The sequence below is a fragment of the Homo sapiens genome, chromosome 9 (assembly GCF_000001405.40).
Source record: "Homo sapiens chromosome 9, GRCh38.p14 Primary Assembly".
In the NCBI taxonomy this organism is placed as follows: domain Eukaryota; kingdom Metazoa; phylum Chordata; class Mammalia; order Primates; family Hominidae; genus Homo; species Homo sapiens.
Window position 1 is genome coordinate 82416217 of NC_000009.12, and position 16714 is coordinate 82432930.

Here is a 16714-nt window from a genome sequence, read left to right on the forward strand (position 1 = left end):
ATGCAGACAGATATGGAGACATAAAAGTTGAGGCCTAGTTGGGAAGAGGGTTTAGAGGAGCATCACTAGAGTTTGGTTAAGGAAAGAATCTGTCAGTAGCCCCTGCCCATCCTAGTGGGAGATGATTGTAACCCGTGCTGTGAAAGGAAGGTCCATAATATTATGAGTACATACAGCAGGGGATCTGACCTGGCCTGGAGATCAAGAAGGTTTCTCTGAGGAAGCTGGGATCTCAAGGAAGGATAAAAGGGGACAAGAGGGAGAGTGGAGAGAGAGGAAGTTCCACTGTGAGACTTTGAACATAATGTGAGGAGTAGAACCCATTATTGGAACTGGAGGAGATGTGAGTACACAGAGCAAGGAGGAGAGTGGTAGGAAGCAGCAGCAGGAAGGGGGCATGAAACAGACCGTGAAGGGTATGGTGGTGGGTGGTGATCTGATCACATTTTCATTTTCAATGCTATCTCTAGCTGTAAAATGGAAAAAAAAAGATGGAGACAAATGCCAGAGAAAGATCAGGTGGTACTAGAGAGAGAAGGTAAATTCAAGAGATATTTAGTAAATAAACTTAATGTCACTTAGTGATGGGTTTAATAAGAAAGGAAAAGTGAATCATAGGTTTTTGGATTTAGATCTGGGTGAATGGAGGTGCCATTGTAATAGAAAATAATGGAAAAGGCCCAGGTTTGTGGTTGGGAAATTTCTATGATTTTTCTTTTAGCCATGTTGAATTTTAATGCCTTTAAGATGTGGCAGGAGATTTAACAGATTTTAAAATGTGGCATATGTAATTCAGATGTATAGCAAATATTGTCTTTATTTTCCATAATTGATTCTATCTTCCTCATAGACTCTTCCTGTTAGCACGGGTCCTGGAGTAAGTTGACAGCTAATATATTTCTGTTTATCTTCTGGTTGAAATAGTATCTTTTCATTTTATTCAGTCTCTTTGAGGTAAATTCAGTCTTTGAGATTTCTGCTCCTTCTTCCCTAGGCCTCCTAAGATTATGTCCAGATGTAGGGTTCAAAGGGGTTTCTGTGAGATGGCAGCAATGGGCAGAGGAGCGTTGGACTCTCACACTGATTTCTGGTTATCTCTGGGCTTTGGCCTAAGGATGGCCAGTCAAGTCTAGACCCATGATATTCCATGAAATGTAACTCATCTCTTTAGCCCCTGGGGCCATGACACAGGCCTCCATTTCCAAAGTAAGTTTAAGTATCATACATTCTATGAGTGTCTCAGGAAATTCTTGTTTCTTCTTTTACCATAGCACCATTTACATTTTTTCTACTTTCAAGTGTTAGATTATATTCTGACTTCTACTTCTTTCCACCACTACCAGTTAGAGAATTTACAAGGGTAGGGACTTTGGTCAATTTCTTTTCTGCATCTGAGCTCTGAGCATACTGCCTGTCATAATAGATACGTAAAGAATACTTACTGGATTGAATTGAAATGGGATCTCTTACTTCCCAAAGCTTGTTGGCACAAGTCTGAGGTACCAAAATTATTTCCATGTGCTGTTTCATTTTTTTAATGCAAAATCGAGTTTATTTTGTGATGCTGACTGGTATGGAGAAGAAATAGGGCAATCTGAATGAAAGAAAACTTCTTGTGACATTGGAAACTCTCTTAAATCTCTTTTGTCTCATCCTGAAATAGTTACCCCCTTTTGTAAGCATTAAACAGCAATTCTTATCCATTGTCCAGTTCAGAAGAATCATGGCTTAAGAATAGCAATGTCTCAAGGACCTTTTGAGCCCTGAGTTGGTGGGTTAGGAATTTAGACAGGATTTTTTGTGGGAAATGGGTAATCAGAGGTACAAAAAGAAAAGGCTTCCACGGCCTTTTGGTTTCCTGCTGCATACCTTATTGTAGAAATTTGCATGCTCTATTGTTTGCAAAAGCAAGAAAAAGGCAACAAAATAAAACTACCAAAAACCCAGAACTCTTGCCATCTTAATTCCTGGTACAAGTTCTCCCCTCCTGACAGGCTTTGGCAATAATGAAACACTGAATCTCAGCTCTGGGAACATTTTATAGATGATCTAGACTATAGGTTCTAGAATCTAGACTCTAGACCAAGTCAAAGAAAGTCCTTCCTTTTTCTGTTCACTAAATTGTCCCCAGAATATGAGTGTATTTAGTGCAATGGGAGCTCGATACATGTTTAATGAATGAGTAAGTGAATGAATAAAATTTCTTTCTTTGCAGTTGAGAAAGCATCGGTTGAGAAAGGCCAGGGGACTTGTGTAGGGTCACACCATTTGTTCGTGGTAGGGCAGGTGAGGAACCACGGTCTCCTGATATCTCATTTGCTGCACTTCAAGTTACACAATAATATTTCCTGCAGCTTAAACCACAGAAGCACTCACCCTTGAGTGCTGTAATAGGTTTCTAGAATTTATTTAAACTATAAAAAAACACAGGACGAATGGTTGTTTTGGCTCACGTAATGGATCAGATATCTAGGAATGCCAAAAGCATATTTATTTACTCACAGGTAGCAAAAACATCATATAATTCTTTTTGTGGCTGTCCAGGCAATGTAAATTTTTTTTTTCTGTTCCAGTAAAGTGTACATTGATTAGAAATTATTGTTGTAAAAAGACCACCACTCAAACAGAGGGTCTGCACTAGGCAAGATATATGAAACCCAAAGTGCCTGTTAGGGTGCTGTGAAAATGTACGCCTTCCTTTTATTTATTTTTTTAAAGATTTGTTCCAGGCCGGGCGCGGTGGCTCACGCCTGTAATCCCAGCACTTTGGGAGGCCGAGGCGGGTGGATCATGAGGTCAGGAGATCGAGACCATCCTGGCTAACAAGGTGAAACCCCGTCTCTACTAAAAATACAAAAAATTAGCCGGGCGCGGTGGCGGGCGCCTGTAGTCCTAGCTACTCGGGAGGCTGAGGCAGGAGAATGGCGTGAACCCGGGAAGCGGAGCTTGCAGTGAGCCGAGATTGCGCCACTGCAGTCCGCAGTCCGACCTGGGCGACAGAGCGAGACTCCGTCTCAAAAAAAAAAAAAAAAAAAAAAAAAAAAAAAAAAAAAAAAAAAGATTTGTTCCATGCAGGAATAGAAGCCTTTTTTGTGTGTGGTCATATTGCTGAGAATCATCTGGTAAATGAGCCAAGAAGAGAGAGCAAGCAAATAATCTTAATCACTTGGGAATATAAGAATCAAACATCACATTGTGTGCAGTAATGAGGAGAATACATTTTAGACATTGGTGCAAAAATCTAACTTCTATCTTTTTGCTATAGCTTACTCAATTTGAGCTATAGTATGGATTGGGATTAAAAGCTCTAAGTTAAATGGTGGTGTAATTATGTGTTAACATTTCTTATATATAAGTTTATTTACATAGCATATTTGGAATGGCTCTATTTTTAATTTAGTATTGAATCGCTGCACATTTGCAAACTGCTTCAGATGCACTTTCTGAAAAGGTGCTGTTCCTTGGGGCTCCCTGGAGGTAAAATCTCCATAGACTCTATAAAGCACACGTGGCCAATAATTGTTGCTCCTGATGGAGGGAAAGTTCCTTTAGCAATGGAAAGAATAATCTTCCAGACTTTTATTAAAATAATACTAGGGAAATACCTTCAATCACATTGTCTTGTTAGGTAACATCTCTTGCATATGGCTATGTATATAGTTTTTGTGCAATAAACATTAGAACAAAACTTTAAAATCATAAAACTTTATGATCTTTATGTGCTGTTAAACAAAGTTTATGATATACCTTTATGATCTTTATGTACTGTTAAACGAAGTTTATGGGAGGCTGTTGTTTTGTGCTAAGCTCCTGTATTAGGCCCTGGCACACCAGACCAAACCAGAATGGAGCCACTTGTGCTAAGTGCCATGTAATCAAGCTGAACCTTGAAATGGGCCAATTTTCAAAAATAAATAAATAAATAAAATAAAATAAAATAAACCATGGGATTCCAGTCAGCCTGAGTCAGTGTAATATGGAAGTCCCCTCTGTTAATGCTGTAAGGAAAGTTACCGTGAAATGACCAATCTGCTATTTGTCCACTGTTTCTGCTTTCTTTTTATTTTATTTTATTTTATTATTTTTATTTTCTTAATTTTCTTTTTTTTATTTTATTATTATTATACTTTGTTTTAGGGTACATGTGTATAATGTGCAGGTTAGTTACATATGTATACATGTGCCATGCTGGTGTGCTGCACCCATTAACTGGTCATTTAGCATTAGGTATATCTCCTAATGCTATCCCTCCCCACTCCCCCCACCCCACATCCCCAGAGTGTGATGTTCCCCTTCCTGTGTCCATGTGTTCTCATTGTTCAGTTCCCACCTATGAGTGAGAACATGCGGTGTTTGGTTTTTTGTTCTTCCGATAGTTTACTGAGAATGATGATTTCCAATTTCATCTATGTTCCTACAAAGGACATGAACTCATCATTTTTATGGCTGCATAGTATTCCATGGTGTATATGTGCCATATTTTCTTAATCCAGTCTATCATTGTTGGACATTTGGGTTGGTTCCAAGTCTTTGCTATTGTGAATAATGCCGCAATAAACATACGTGTGCATGTGTCTTTATAGCAGCATGATTTATAGTCCTTTGGGTATATACCCAGTAATGGGATGGCTGGGTCAAATGGTATTTCTAGTTCTAGATCCCTGAGGAATAGCCACACTGACTTCCACAATGGTTGAACTAGTTTACAGTCCCACCAACAGTGTAAAAGTGTTCCTATTTCTCCACATCCTCTCCAGCACCTGTTGTTTCCTGACTTTTTAATGATTGCCATTCTAACTGGTGTGAGATGGTATCTCATTTTGGTTTTGATTTGCATTTTTCTCTGCTTTCTTTAGCCCTTCTGTGCCTGTAAGACCAACCTCCTCTGCTCAGCTCATCAGAACACTCACTCTGTTATATAAAATGAGGTGTTACCTGATTCGAGAATCACAAATAAAAGCCAATCAGACCCTTAAACTAAATTTGTTGTAATTTTGTCTTTTGACAGTGCTAATGATTATTTTGTAACTAGCGTGTTTTTTATGGGAGTGGGAGAAAGAAAAGGGAGACAGGGTAACTGGTTCTTTCTGAAACAAGTAATCTCATAATTTTAAAAATCCTAGGAAATATCAAAAGCAGCTCAGGCTCAGTTTAGCCATTTATGCTGCTTTAAATAGCTGTCTACTTTTACAAAAGTTCTAATTTTTTTCTGATTCCTGCCACATTTCTGATATTGCCCAGCCATAAGCCCTGCTGCCTTGCAGGCGTGCCCCATGGAGGGAGCAGAGCTGAAATTAGACACAACAAACTATGTGCTCTCTTATTCATGGGCTCAATAAAAGCACTTCCTCAGGGAGATATTATATTTCCATCTTCAAGTCTGGGAGTTTGGGCACCCCAAAGCGATTGTCAGCAGCCCAGCCAGAGCAAATTTAACCTCGCCCTGAACCTTGGTGGGGCTCCAGCGGGACTGTCACGAAAATGTCGAATTTTGGCCCTGTGTCTCCAGCTCCAAAGTAGGGTTCGGACAGCCAAAGAAAACAGAGCCTGAGTTAAACAGTGAGAAGAGAAAGAGGCCAAAACTCTTACCTAAAGGTCTCTACAGCTCAGCAAACTCAGTGAGAGTCAAGGAGTTAGAAGGAAGGCCTTTCCCTTGTGCATGACACCTCTTAGTGCCTCTATTTTCCCTTCCGTAAAATGAACATTTTCTAAATCCTCACTACTCAAATTGTGGTACTCAGACTAATAGCATTGGTATCACCATGGAAGCTTGTTAGAAAAGCAGAATCTTAGGCCCCATCCTAAAATTACTGAGTCAAAATCTACATTTTAACTTATGCATCTTAAAGTTTGAGAATCTCTGATGTAAAAGGCCCAGATCCAAATGCACGATAACAAATCTATTATGGAAAACCCTTTTTTTTTTTTTTTGAGACGGAGTCTCGCTCTGTCACCCAGGCTGGAGTGCAGTGGCGGGATCTCGGCTCACTGCAAGCTCCGCCTCCCGGGTTCACGCCATTCTCCTGCCTCAGCCTCCCAAGTAGCTGGGACTACAGGCGCCCGCCACTACGCCCGGCTAATTTTTTCTATTTTTTAGTAGAGACGGGGTTTCGCCGTTTTAGCCGGGATGGTCTCGATCTCCTGACCTCGTGATCTGCCCGCCTCGGCCTCCCAAAGTGCTGGGATTACAGGCGTGAGCCACCATGCCCGGCTGGAAAACCCTTTTTTAAACATAAAGAGTGTGACCGTAAAGTTATAAGCTGCCCCTCAGATAGGGAGCATTTCACAGCCTTGACCTGTATAAACTAGATCAGCATGATTCACTGAGCTCCTACCAATGCAAGGACACACCCCGATATTGTTTGGCTGTGTCCCCACCCAAATCTCATCTTGAATTGTAGGTCCCATAATTCCCATGTGTCGTGGGAGGGACCTGGTGGGAGGTAATTGAATCATGGGGGGAGGTTTCCCCCATGCTGTTCTTGTGACAGTGAGTGTGTGCTCACGAGATCTGGTGGTTATAAGCATCTGGCATTTCTCCTGCTGGCACTGATTCTCTCTCCCACCACCCTGTGAAGAGGTGCCTTCCACCACGATTGTAAGTTTCCTGAGTCCTCCTCCGCCATGCAGAACTGTGAGTCAATTAAACCTCTTCTCTTTATAAATTACCCAGTCTCGGGTATTTCTTCATAGCAGTGTGAGAATGGACTGACACACACCCTGAAGGCTGCCTGACCAGAGTGGTTCCCTGAACGCCCCAAAGTTTGAAATCTGACTGTAAGGATGCAAGAAGCAAAGAAAAAAATACATTCATACACTCAGGAATCTAACCCAGGGGCACTATTAAACCTGAGTTTGCAAATCTATCTTGGGAAAGAACAGGATAACAGAGCTTGTGCTAGGTTTACTTGTAAAGGTGTTCCTGAGACTTTTCCAGATTTATGCAAAGAAGGATTGGGGACTTTTGCCAAATCCTCATCTTCTGAAATCCAGGGTTCAGACACTGTCAGAAAGGCACACTTGATGTTTATCTTCTGGAAGACAAGCCCTACAGAGACTGAAAGTTCTCCTCAGCCCTGAGACTCAGGAGACCCAGTCCTCCCCAAAGCCCGCCCCAAGGAGACTAAAGAGACAGATGTGATGCACCACCATGGGACAGTCACTGCTTTCTCTCTTAATACCACCCTGGGGCCTTCTCATCAGTTCCTTGAAGAGCGATGCTACCTTATCACTGCCCTTCCAGGGCTTAGCAAGAACCAGAGGGCTGACGCAAAAATAACCTTGAGTCTTCCATCTGCCCAAAGCTCTCCAAGGAAGCAGGAGGCATCAGGGCACTTAAGAAGCCACAGGCAGGAGACATGCGGCACATGGCTGGGCCCCACTGATGATGTAGCTGCTAAAAGCTCTAGAGAGTCATTTTGGATAGAAACAGACTCTGACAGGAGCCATCAGTTGCATGAAATTATGCTGAAAGCCTGTAGGCAAAATCCCTGCTGATGGAGGTTGCTAGCACCCAAAGTAGCAGAGATAACCATACTACTGGACTCTGTGTCAGGCACTTTATTATACAAACTCTAGGGAAAGTATTGTTATCTGCATTGGGCATATAAGGAAACCGGAGCTCTAAGAGCTCGAATAGTTTGTACACAGTTGAATCAGGGTTACTTTTGAATTCGGGCCATCCTAGCTCCAAAGTCCAAGCTGCTTTTGTTGCACTGCAAAACCTCCCCTGGGTGGATGCGACTTGCCAACAAGAATCAAGGCAGAACTTTGCAGGGAGGCATTGGGTGACTAGAGCCTTATACTGGGAGAAGCAGGTTGGAGTGCCAGGCTGGTGGGAATTTCTTGCTCAGAGTTATCCAGTTCAACCCATTTGTGGCCTACAGAGAGGTTAGGCTTCTGAGACCATCTTTTCCTCCATACCTTGACAGATACTTTATACCTCTTGAGAAGGAAGGAATGGTTCCTAGCCAGAAAAATTTAATGGCTGCATCAGGGCCAGCTTCAGGGACACTGCAGTCACATAGACCCCCTCACTTATGAGGCCCCTGTGCTTGGGTTTTAATCCTCTGCCATTGCTGTCTTGAAATGCTAAACAATTTTGTCTTTGAATTTATGTTGTGTAAGGAAAGTCTGATGGGACAATGACACATGCACCCAGGTCTTAGAGCCTTGCCTCATGTGCAGTCTCACCTCCCACCCACTCCCTGTCTCCCTGGGATGGGTTGTCTGCTGCCTACTTCCTGTCCCCTGCCACTCTTCACCCAGGGATCCAGGTACTGAGAGATCTAGGTACGCTTGGGGTGACCTGTCTGTAGAGCAGTAGGCCTGACTTTTCTGCCTCTGGCTGGGTCCCTACATAATTATTTTGCACTAGACCTGCAAATTATGTAGCCATCTCTGAACTACACTTTTCTAGGGTTGGAACTGTCAAAGTGATTAAAAGTTCAGCATGCAAAGGCTGGGCTCTTCCTGCCCTGAGGGAAGTAGTCTCAACCATCCTTTTCTCTCTTTCCTCAAATACTGTCTCCTCCTTCTAGGAGCAAGACTGCTGCCTGGTTTACAATCAGGGCCAGCTTGATACCAGGCAGTAAGAGCAAACTTCCTCTCTCTCTGCTTTTGTCTCTCTGGTTATAGATTCTTAAGCTCTGACAGGTGCATTTTTAATTAGCCTTTTGATATGGTTGTAAGATCTGAGATTAGGGTTTACACATTGGAGGTGAAATACATGAAGCAATCCTCTAGGAGTGCTTTGTTTCAACATTACTTGGACCTATTTAACTTCAGTAAAAGGAGCCTTCCACATAGTTTAACTCACTGTTATCTGAGGTTAAAGTCCCCCAAATAATGAATTACTATGTTGCTTTAGCTTTTTTGTGCATATATTTCCCTTAGAGAACTTATTGACAGGAGAAAACCCAGAGTCAAAGCAATATTCATATACTGCTAACCTCTGGCCTAATGTCATATTAATACCATGCTAATAATACCTAATGCCACTCTAAGCCCAGTGATGAGAGGAGGGGTGCAGATACGAATTTGCGATCTTTCAATAAGGTCTCCTTAGTGACAAAGCAATACATTTTCCTATCAAGAAACCTTCAGGGACCGAGAATATTATCCAGGGACTTAAGGCAGCTTTAGCAACCATAGGGTATAATCCAATCTCAGAATTCCAGCATGGTAGAATGAGTGAGGAAAGAATTAGAAGGTCATACAAACAACACTCAAGAGAGGTCATAATGTCACTCATGACTAAGTCATATTTTTGATACAGGTGACAAATTATAAAACCAGAGCTCTTTAGATCTTGAAGCAGCATGGGTACTACACATTTCAAAGCCCTCAAGTTTCAAATTAAGAAACCGAGGATCTAAGAGTTGTAGAAAGGCATATATTATTACTCAGGATATTATTGTAATCACTGGTATTTGAGACCCATAGCCAGCAGCCGAGACACCATTCTTTCCATTATACTGTATCCATTGAGGTTTATTAACCATGGTAGATAATTTTATCTAACAAGAGTAAAATTGTGTCTAATGTGAGATGAGCATTTCTTATACAACTTTATAAATTAGAATTAATCTCTGAACAAAGTATAAATGGAGAAACACATGTACCCTACTTTATTACGTGGGCATTCTTTATTAGTAGGGAGAATAATGTGATAGCCCTATGACAAGGTTTAGGGGTTCTAGAAAATCCTCAAAACTTATTGCCATACATAACAAAATAACTAAAATTCTAAAATTACAGGTTGAATTCTGTGAACTAAGCCAAAAGAGCTCGGTTCCTGGTAGAGTATGATCAATTCATGCATGAAACCCAGATCTGAGGGTGCAAAAGGGCCTTACCAGTTTTCTAGTCTAATCTTTGCATATTTACCTCCAATATATCAATGCCTAAAGAGTAGTGCCCTATTCTATGAGAATATATCCATCATCCATTCCTCCATCCCTCAATTATTCATTCACTAATTTAGCCAATATTTTTGCATCCCTCTTTTCCACCAGTATGCCAGATACTGTTTCTTTTCTCTCAGTAGCAAACCCACCCTCTTTATTCTCTTTAGATTCTCCCATTGAGAAGCATTTCTGTGAGCTCTGGAAGTCAGGTGAAAAGGAGAAGTCATAATCTATGGCAGCAGCTATGGGAAGGTACATTTATTAGAAATTAGAGGAACATCAGATATTAGAGGATATGTTAGATTAGATATTATTGATAGATATATTAGATATTATTGATATATTAGATATATTGATAGATTGGATATCATTAGCTAGATTAGATATATTTGGCAGATATTAGAGGAACACCAGATTTCATCAGTATGCTTCTGAGATTTATCCAGTTTTGCACTGCAAGCATCTGATAATTTTGTGGCAGCTTTTCTGCATTGCTGGTACTTCTAGACTTCCTCAGAGGCTGGGCCTCCCTGACCTTAGCTCACTAGTCCTTCTGAAGCTTGTGTAAACTTTTAATTCCCTGTATTAAATTCATTGTTGTTCAGAATACCTACAGTTTTTTGTTTTTTTGTTTTTTTGTTTTTTTGTTTTTTTGGTTTTTTTTCCTGACAAACCCTGACAGAAATAGCCAAGCACTGGGCAATGAACACAAGATACAAAATTGAGTCAACCTGCTCTACTATCTGAAGCCGTTCCTTATTTTGGAAAGCATCCTGGCTCTCTCTTATGTACATTGGTCCTTTGCCTGTCCTAAGTAGCCACACATATTAAGTCTTGCTTATTAATTTATATTTCAGCTCGTATTAGCCTTCCTGAGAGGAGGTGTCTACAGGGAGAGAAAGGTGAGGACATGGGTACATGATTGGTAGGAAGAGAGCACTACTGAGTTTGCAAAGATGAAACTTTTTCTTTTTTAGTTTTTCTGACACTTAGAACATAAAGGTTGGATTCTATTCTTAGAGAAGAGTGAGTAAATCCTACTATGTTCAGTGAGAATCGCATATATTTTGCAAGACAGTGGAGTAAGATAGATAGTCTTGGGAAGTCGGCCATGTCAATGTAAGGGTCTACGGGCTGGTCTCGAACTCCCGACCTCAGGTGATCTGCCCACCTCGGCCTCCCAAAGTGCTAGGATTACAGGGATGAGCCACCATGCCTGGCCTAAAATGAAATTTTAATTGGCAGAGAAGGCAGATGGTGAGAATTGTTGATCCAATAATAACATGAAGTCCATGAAAGCCTGTGGCTGTAAAGAATGTTGAGCTGTAGATTCCATCAGAGATAATAAAGGGGGCCTCGAAATATTCTGAGATTTGTGGAAGGGTGAAATAGACTCCTAAGAGGATTGTGGTAAGTAGTGCTTGAATTGTTTGTTTTTGGTTACCTTCTGTTAGGCTGTGATGGGCTCAAGTCATTGAAACTCCTGATGCAAGTAATACGGACGTATTTAGGAGAGGTACTTCTGAAGGGTTCAGGGGAAGAATACCTGTTGGGGGTCAATGTCCTCCTAATTCTGGGGTCGGTGCTAAACTGGAGTGATAGCATGCCCAGAAAAAACCGGCGAAGAAGGATACTTCTGAGATAATAGGAGCATCCTGTATCAGAGGCCTTTTTGGACAATTGCTGTGTGGTGGCCTTGGAATGTACTTTCTCGGACAATATCACGTCATCATTGATATATAGTCAGTGTGTTGGTTAGTAGGCCTAAAGTTAAAAGAGTGGTAGAATTAAAGTGAAATCCTATGGTTAGGCCAGATGTTATTAGGAGAGCCGAGAGAGCTCCTGTTAGTGGTCAAGGGCTAGGTACAACTATATGGTAGGCATGTGTCTGGTGGGTCATTATGTATTATGCGAACAAAGACTAATAGTGTGAAGACATAAGCTTGAATAAGAGTGACAGCGAACTTGAGAACAGTTAGTAGAATTAGAATAATAGGAAATACTGAAGTTGCAGAGACACTAATAATTGATAATATTAGCACTGCACTGTATTTTAATTCTTTTTCTCCTGTAGGAAAAAGAAGAACTGATTGAAGAGTGGCAACCAGAACCTCTTGTTCCTCCTGTCCCAAAAGACCATCCTGCTCTCAACTACAACATCGTTTCAGGGTAAATTGATTTTGCTACCTGAAGTACTTGTATTTGGCTTCTTGTAGTAACCTGCAGTCTATAGTGCTTTATATGTAGTAGTCCTTTTTTATCTGAAACAAAACATTTTGAAGTTCCCAGGAGTAACAGCTTTAGCTCCTGATTTTAAAAAATTTATTCTAGGGGTGATACAGGCATTTTTTAAAATCTCCAATTTAAGCATTAATGTTTGCCCTTTTTTCCAAGAATGCACACGTGTTAATATTTCAAATGGTTGAACACTTAAAATGAAAAGCAACAGACTCCTGCTTTTTACCCATCTGGTTATTTTCTGATTTTAAATCTGTCGCACGTTACCCTCATAATTCTAGATACTGTAGTATGCTTAACTACCATTTGTTAATGGTAGTTGTTGTTGTTGTACAGACAACACCTGTTGATCCCCACAATATGAATTATGGAGCTTCCACTCACTTATGCCTCTTTCCTCCTTGCTTCCAGTGTCTCATCTATTTTTTACTTTTCGTTCTCTTGGCTATCTTTGCTATATTGTATGTATTTTCATTAATTAAGAAATACATTAAGAATACAGAAAGTTATCAGATACAGATATAGATATAGATATCAGACACCTATATACCTACCACCCAGAATTAATTGGTGTTAACATTTTGCTATTTTTAATTCAAGCTTACTTTTACAGGTAAATACAATATTACAAATGCATCTTAAGAAATTCCTTCACATCCGTCACTTACTCTTGCCTCTCATACAGATAACCACTGTCTTGAAGTTGGTGATTGTTTTCTTTCTTTGCTGATATTTATAATTTTACCATATGTGCCTGTTGCCATAAAAATATTTGGTTTATTTTAAAATGTGATACAAGATATTTTCCTGAGTATTATTGTTCTGATTCTGATCTGATCAAAGAGGAGCTTCTATTCTTTACTTCTGTAGAACTCTTTAGTCTTATAAAAGTTTTATATATTCTGAAATCAAACCTACCAATCTTTTTTTTTTTTTTGAGACAGAGTCTCACTCTGTCGCCCAGTCTGGAGTGCAGTGGCGCAATCTCGGCTCACTGCAAGCTTCGCCTCCCAGGTTCACGCCATTATCCTGCCTCAGCCTCCTGAGTAGCTGGGACTACAGGCAAACGCTGCCATGCCCGGCTAACTTTTTGTATTTTTAGTAAAGACGGAGTTTCACCGTGTTAGCCAGGATGGTCTCGATCTCCTGACTTTGTGATCCGCCCACCTCGGCCTCCCAAAGTGCTGGGATTACAGGCGTGAGCCACCGCACCCGGCCCAAATTTACCAATCTTTTATAGTTTGGTCTTTTGAAGTCTTAGGGAATCGTTTCCTACCCTAAAGGTCTAATTTGATTGTTTTCCATATGATGGTCAGTTGTCTCAGCATTATTAGTTGAATAATCCAGTATTTACCTACAGCTTGGAAATTTCCCTTCTTTGGTAAGCCAGATTCCCTTCTAAAGGGTCTATTTCTGGCTTTTATTTTTATTCATTGGATATATTCATATCTCCATATACCAGAGACTCATTCATGTATACCACAGCTTTATAATAAACGTTGATTAGAGTGTTTTTCTACCTCCGTGTTCTTCAAAATTGCCTAGACTATTCTTGACCCTTCTTCACTGTGAGTTTAGGTTTAGGTGATCATATTTAACCAAAAAAAATGCATTTGGGTTTTTTATTAGAAGTGTGTTGAATTTATGGATTAATTTAGGAGGCTTGGTATCTTGCTGATACTTAATCTCACTACCCATTTACATGGTATATATTGCTTGCATACTTGGGTCTTTTGTTTTCTATAGTAAAGTTGCTGGAAGAGGAGTGGGGGAGGAAAGAGGAGGAGAGGAATGCACACATATGGGTGTAGGAGGCACCCTTCTGAAGGGAGGCTGGAAGGAGAAAGATGTGGGGCTAGGACGTGTGGGGCATGGGTCAGAGGTCAGAGGCACTGAAACTGCAGCTGAATGAGAGCAGCCTCCTTTTTCATTAGGTGGAACCCCCAAAATGGGGGCAAGGTCAGTGGGAAGAGCCAGGGAAGAGTTAGGAATTATGGATATCAAATTTTACTCAATTCTTGGTGTGGGAGAAGGTGGAGGGACAGGCAAAATGAGGGGCCCAACAGCACGTGGGCCGAGTCAGAGTAGGACGAGGAGCTGGGATCTGTGAAGTGTAGGTGGCCAGGGGCAGGGAGTCTCAGCAGGTGTGGAGACAGCAGGGGCAGGCTGGGTGCCACTGCAGTTTGCCATGTCTTACTTTTTTTTTTTTTTTTTTTTTTGAGATGGAGTCTTGCTCTGTCACCAGGCTGGAGTGCAGTGGTGAGATCTCGGCTCACTGCAACCACCACCTCCCGGGTTGAAGCCATTCTCCTGCCTCAGCCTCCCGAGTAGCTGGGACTACAGGCACAAGCCACCATGCCCGCCTAATTTTTGTATTTTCAGTAGAGACAGAGTTTCACCATGTTGGCCAGAATGATCTCGATCTCCTTTTTTTTAATTAAAAAGTAAACTTTAATGTCGAAAATGCAAGCTTGAGGAGGGCAGAAAGATCACACACAAGGCTGTCACTTCACACTTGGAAGGTTGCACAGCAGCCGGGCAGAGACGCTCCTCACTTCCCAGATGGTGAGGGGGCTGGGCAGAGGCGCTCCTCACTTCTCAGACAGTGCAGGGGCTGGGCAGAGGCGCTCCTCCCTTACAAACGGTGAGGGGGCCGGGCAGAGGTGCTCCTCACTTTCCAGACAGGGGGGCGGCTGGGCAGAAGCGCTCCTCACTTCCCAGATGTGATGGTGGCCAGGCAGAGGCGCTCCTCACTTCCCAGAGTGTAAGGGGGCTGGGCAGAGGCACTCCTCGCTTTGCAGACTGTGAGGCAGCCGGGCAGAGGCGCTCCTCACTTCCCAGACAGGGCGGCGGCCTGGCAGAGGCACTCCTCACTGCCCAGACGGGGCAGGACCCAGGCAGAGGTGCTCCTCACTTCCCAGACTGTGAGGCAGCCGGGCAGAGGCACTCATCACTTCCCAGACAGGGCGGGAGCCGGGCAGGGGCGCTCCTCACTGCCCAGACAGTGCGGTGGCCAGGCAGAGGCGCTCCTCACTTCCCAGAATGTAAGGGGGCCGGGCAGAGGCACTCTTCGCTTCACAGACAGGACGGTGGCGAGGCAGAGGCGCTCCTTACTTCCCAGACAGGGCAATGGCTGGGCAGAGGCGCTCCTCACTTCCCATACCATGAGGTGGCCAGGCAGAGTTGCTCGTCACTTCCCAGATGGGGTGGAGGCCAGGCAGAGGCAGTGCTCCTCCTCAATTCCCAGATGGTGGGCAGCTGGGCAGAGGTGCTCCTCACTTCCCAGACAGGGCAGTGGCCAGGCAGAGGCGCTCCTCACTTCCCAGACGGTGGAGCAGCCGGGCAGAGGCGCTCCTCACTTCCCAGATGGTGGGGCGGCTGGGCAGAGGCACTCCTCACTTCTCAGACGGTGGAGCAGCCGGGCAGAGGCGCTCCTCACTTCCCAGCTGGTGCAGGCAGAGATGTTCCTCAGGTCTCAATCTCTTGACCTCCTGATCCGCCCACCTGAGCCTCCCAAAGTGCTGGATTACAGGCGTGGGCCACCACGCCTGCCCTGCCGTCTCTTCTTTCTCCTCATAAGCAGCTCTCTTAGTCTCCTGAATTTTGATGTTCTACTTAACATCCTCATGTTCTTATGCATGTTGCCCTGCTGGAGGCGTCCTTCTCTTTGGGAAGCCTGACCCACCAACAGTGCCTCAGGAGATAGAAATGGAAGCTTAGCCAGTGGGGGACCCTCATCTCTATCCCACCTCAGTTGCAGGGGAGGGGTTGGTTGCAGCTGCAGCAGTGGCCCCGACAGTTTTCTTTTGCAGGACCTGTGGCTGGCAGCTCTGGGTGGAGAAGACCTACTTGATCCAAGAGCTGCAGGATCCTTGGGCTGCGTGTCCTCCCCCACCATCACCATCAGCTGGGCAGGTGGTCTTTACCCAGCACCTTCAAGGCCGCCTTCTCTGGCCACAGGGAGCAGCCCGGAACTGGGGCAGGGAGCACCGTTGGAAGTGGGTCAGGCTTCCCAAAGGGAAGGATGCCTCCAGCAGGGCTGTGTGAACTGGCGACTCCATGGCCCTTGGAGTAGAAACTCACTGCATGCACCTGGGCCTTGTCAGTCTGGTTGTTTTCTGTCAAGCTCTTGAGGTGGACATTTCCCTCCAAGGGCCTGGGATTGTACAAGGAGGAAGTGAGGTTTCCCTGAGTCTCCAGGGGCCTAGAGGTGGAGGCTGCTTCCCCATTGCTACAGGGGCCCCTTTTATTGTCCTCCTGCCCCTGGGTCTCTACCTGGTCTTTCACCTCCGTTGCTTCTTTGGGCTCTTTTGCCCTCACCTCCATCTTCGGGAGCCTGGCTGGGATCACCTGCTCATCTAATGAAGGAAGTCGGAGGTTAAACTTGCCTCTGAGACGAGGGATCCTCACGGGGCTGAGGTGTCCAAACATCCTGGAGTTGTGAGCAGACAGCATGGGTTTCTTCCTTGAGGGGGGGCTCCAGACCACAGGAGGCAGGACCCTCTGTGGGGTGCCCGTGTTCCGAGGGATAAGACAGCCTCATAGGGGCGCTGTCCCACCTGACTGGA

The 16714-nt window shown here is 43.5% G+C and overlaps 3 pseudogenes; all 3 read right to left on the reverse strand.

Annotated features, from left to right (window-relative positions):
* On the reverse strand, positions 11134-11809 carry MTCO3P40 (MT-CO3 pseudogene 40; annotated as a pseudogene).
* Positions 13902-15290, reverse strand: NPAP1P8 (nuclear pore associated protein 1 pseudogene 8; annotated as a pseudogene).
* Positions 15516-16685, reverse strand: LOC442427 (putative UPF0607 protein ENSP00000381418; annotated as a pseudogene).
* Between the last annotated feature and the right edge of the window lie 29 nt (positions 16686-16714).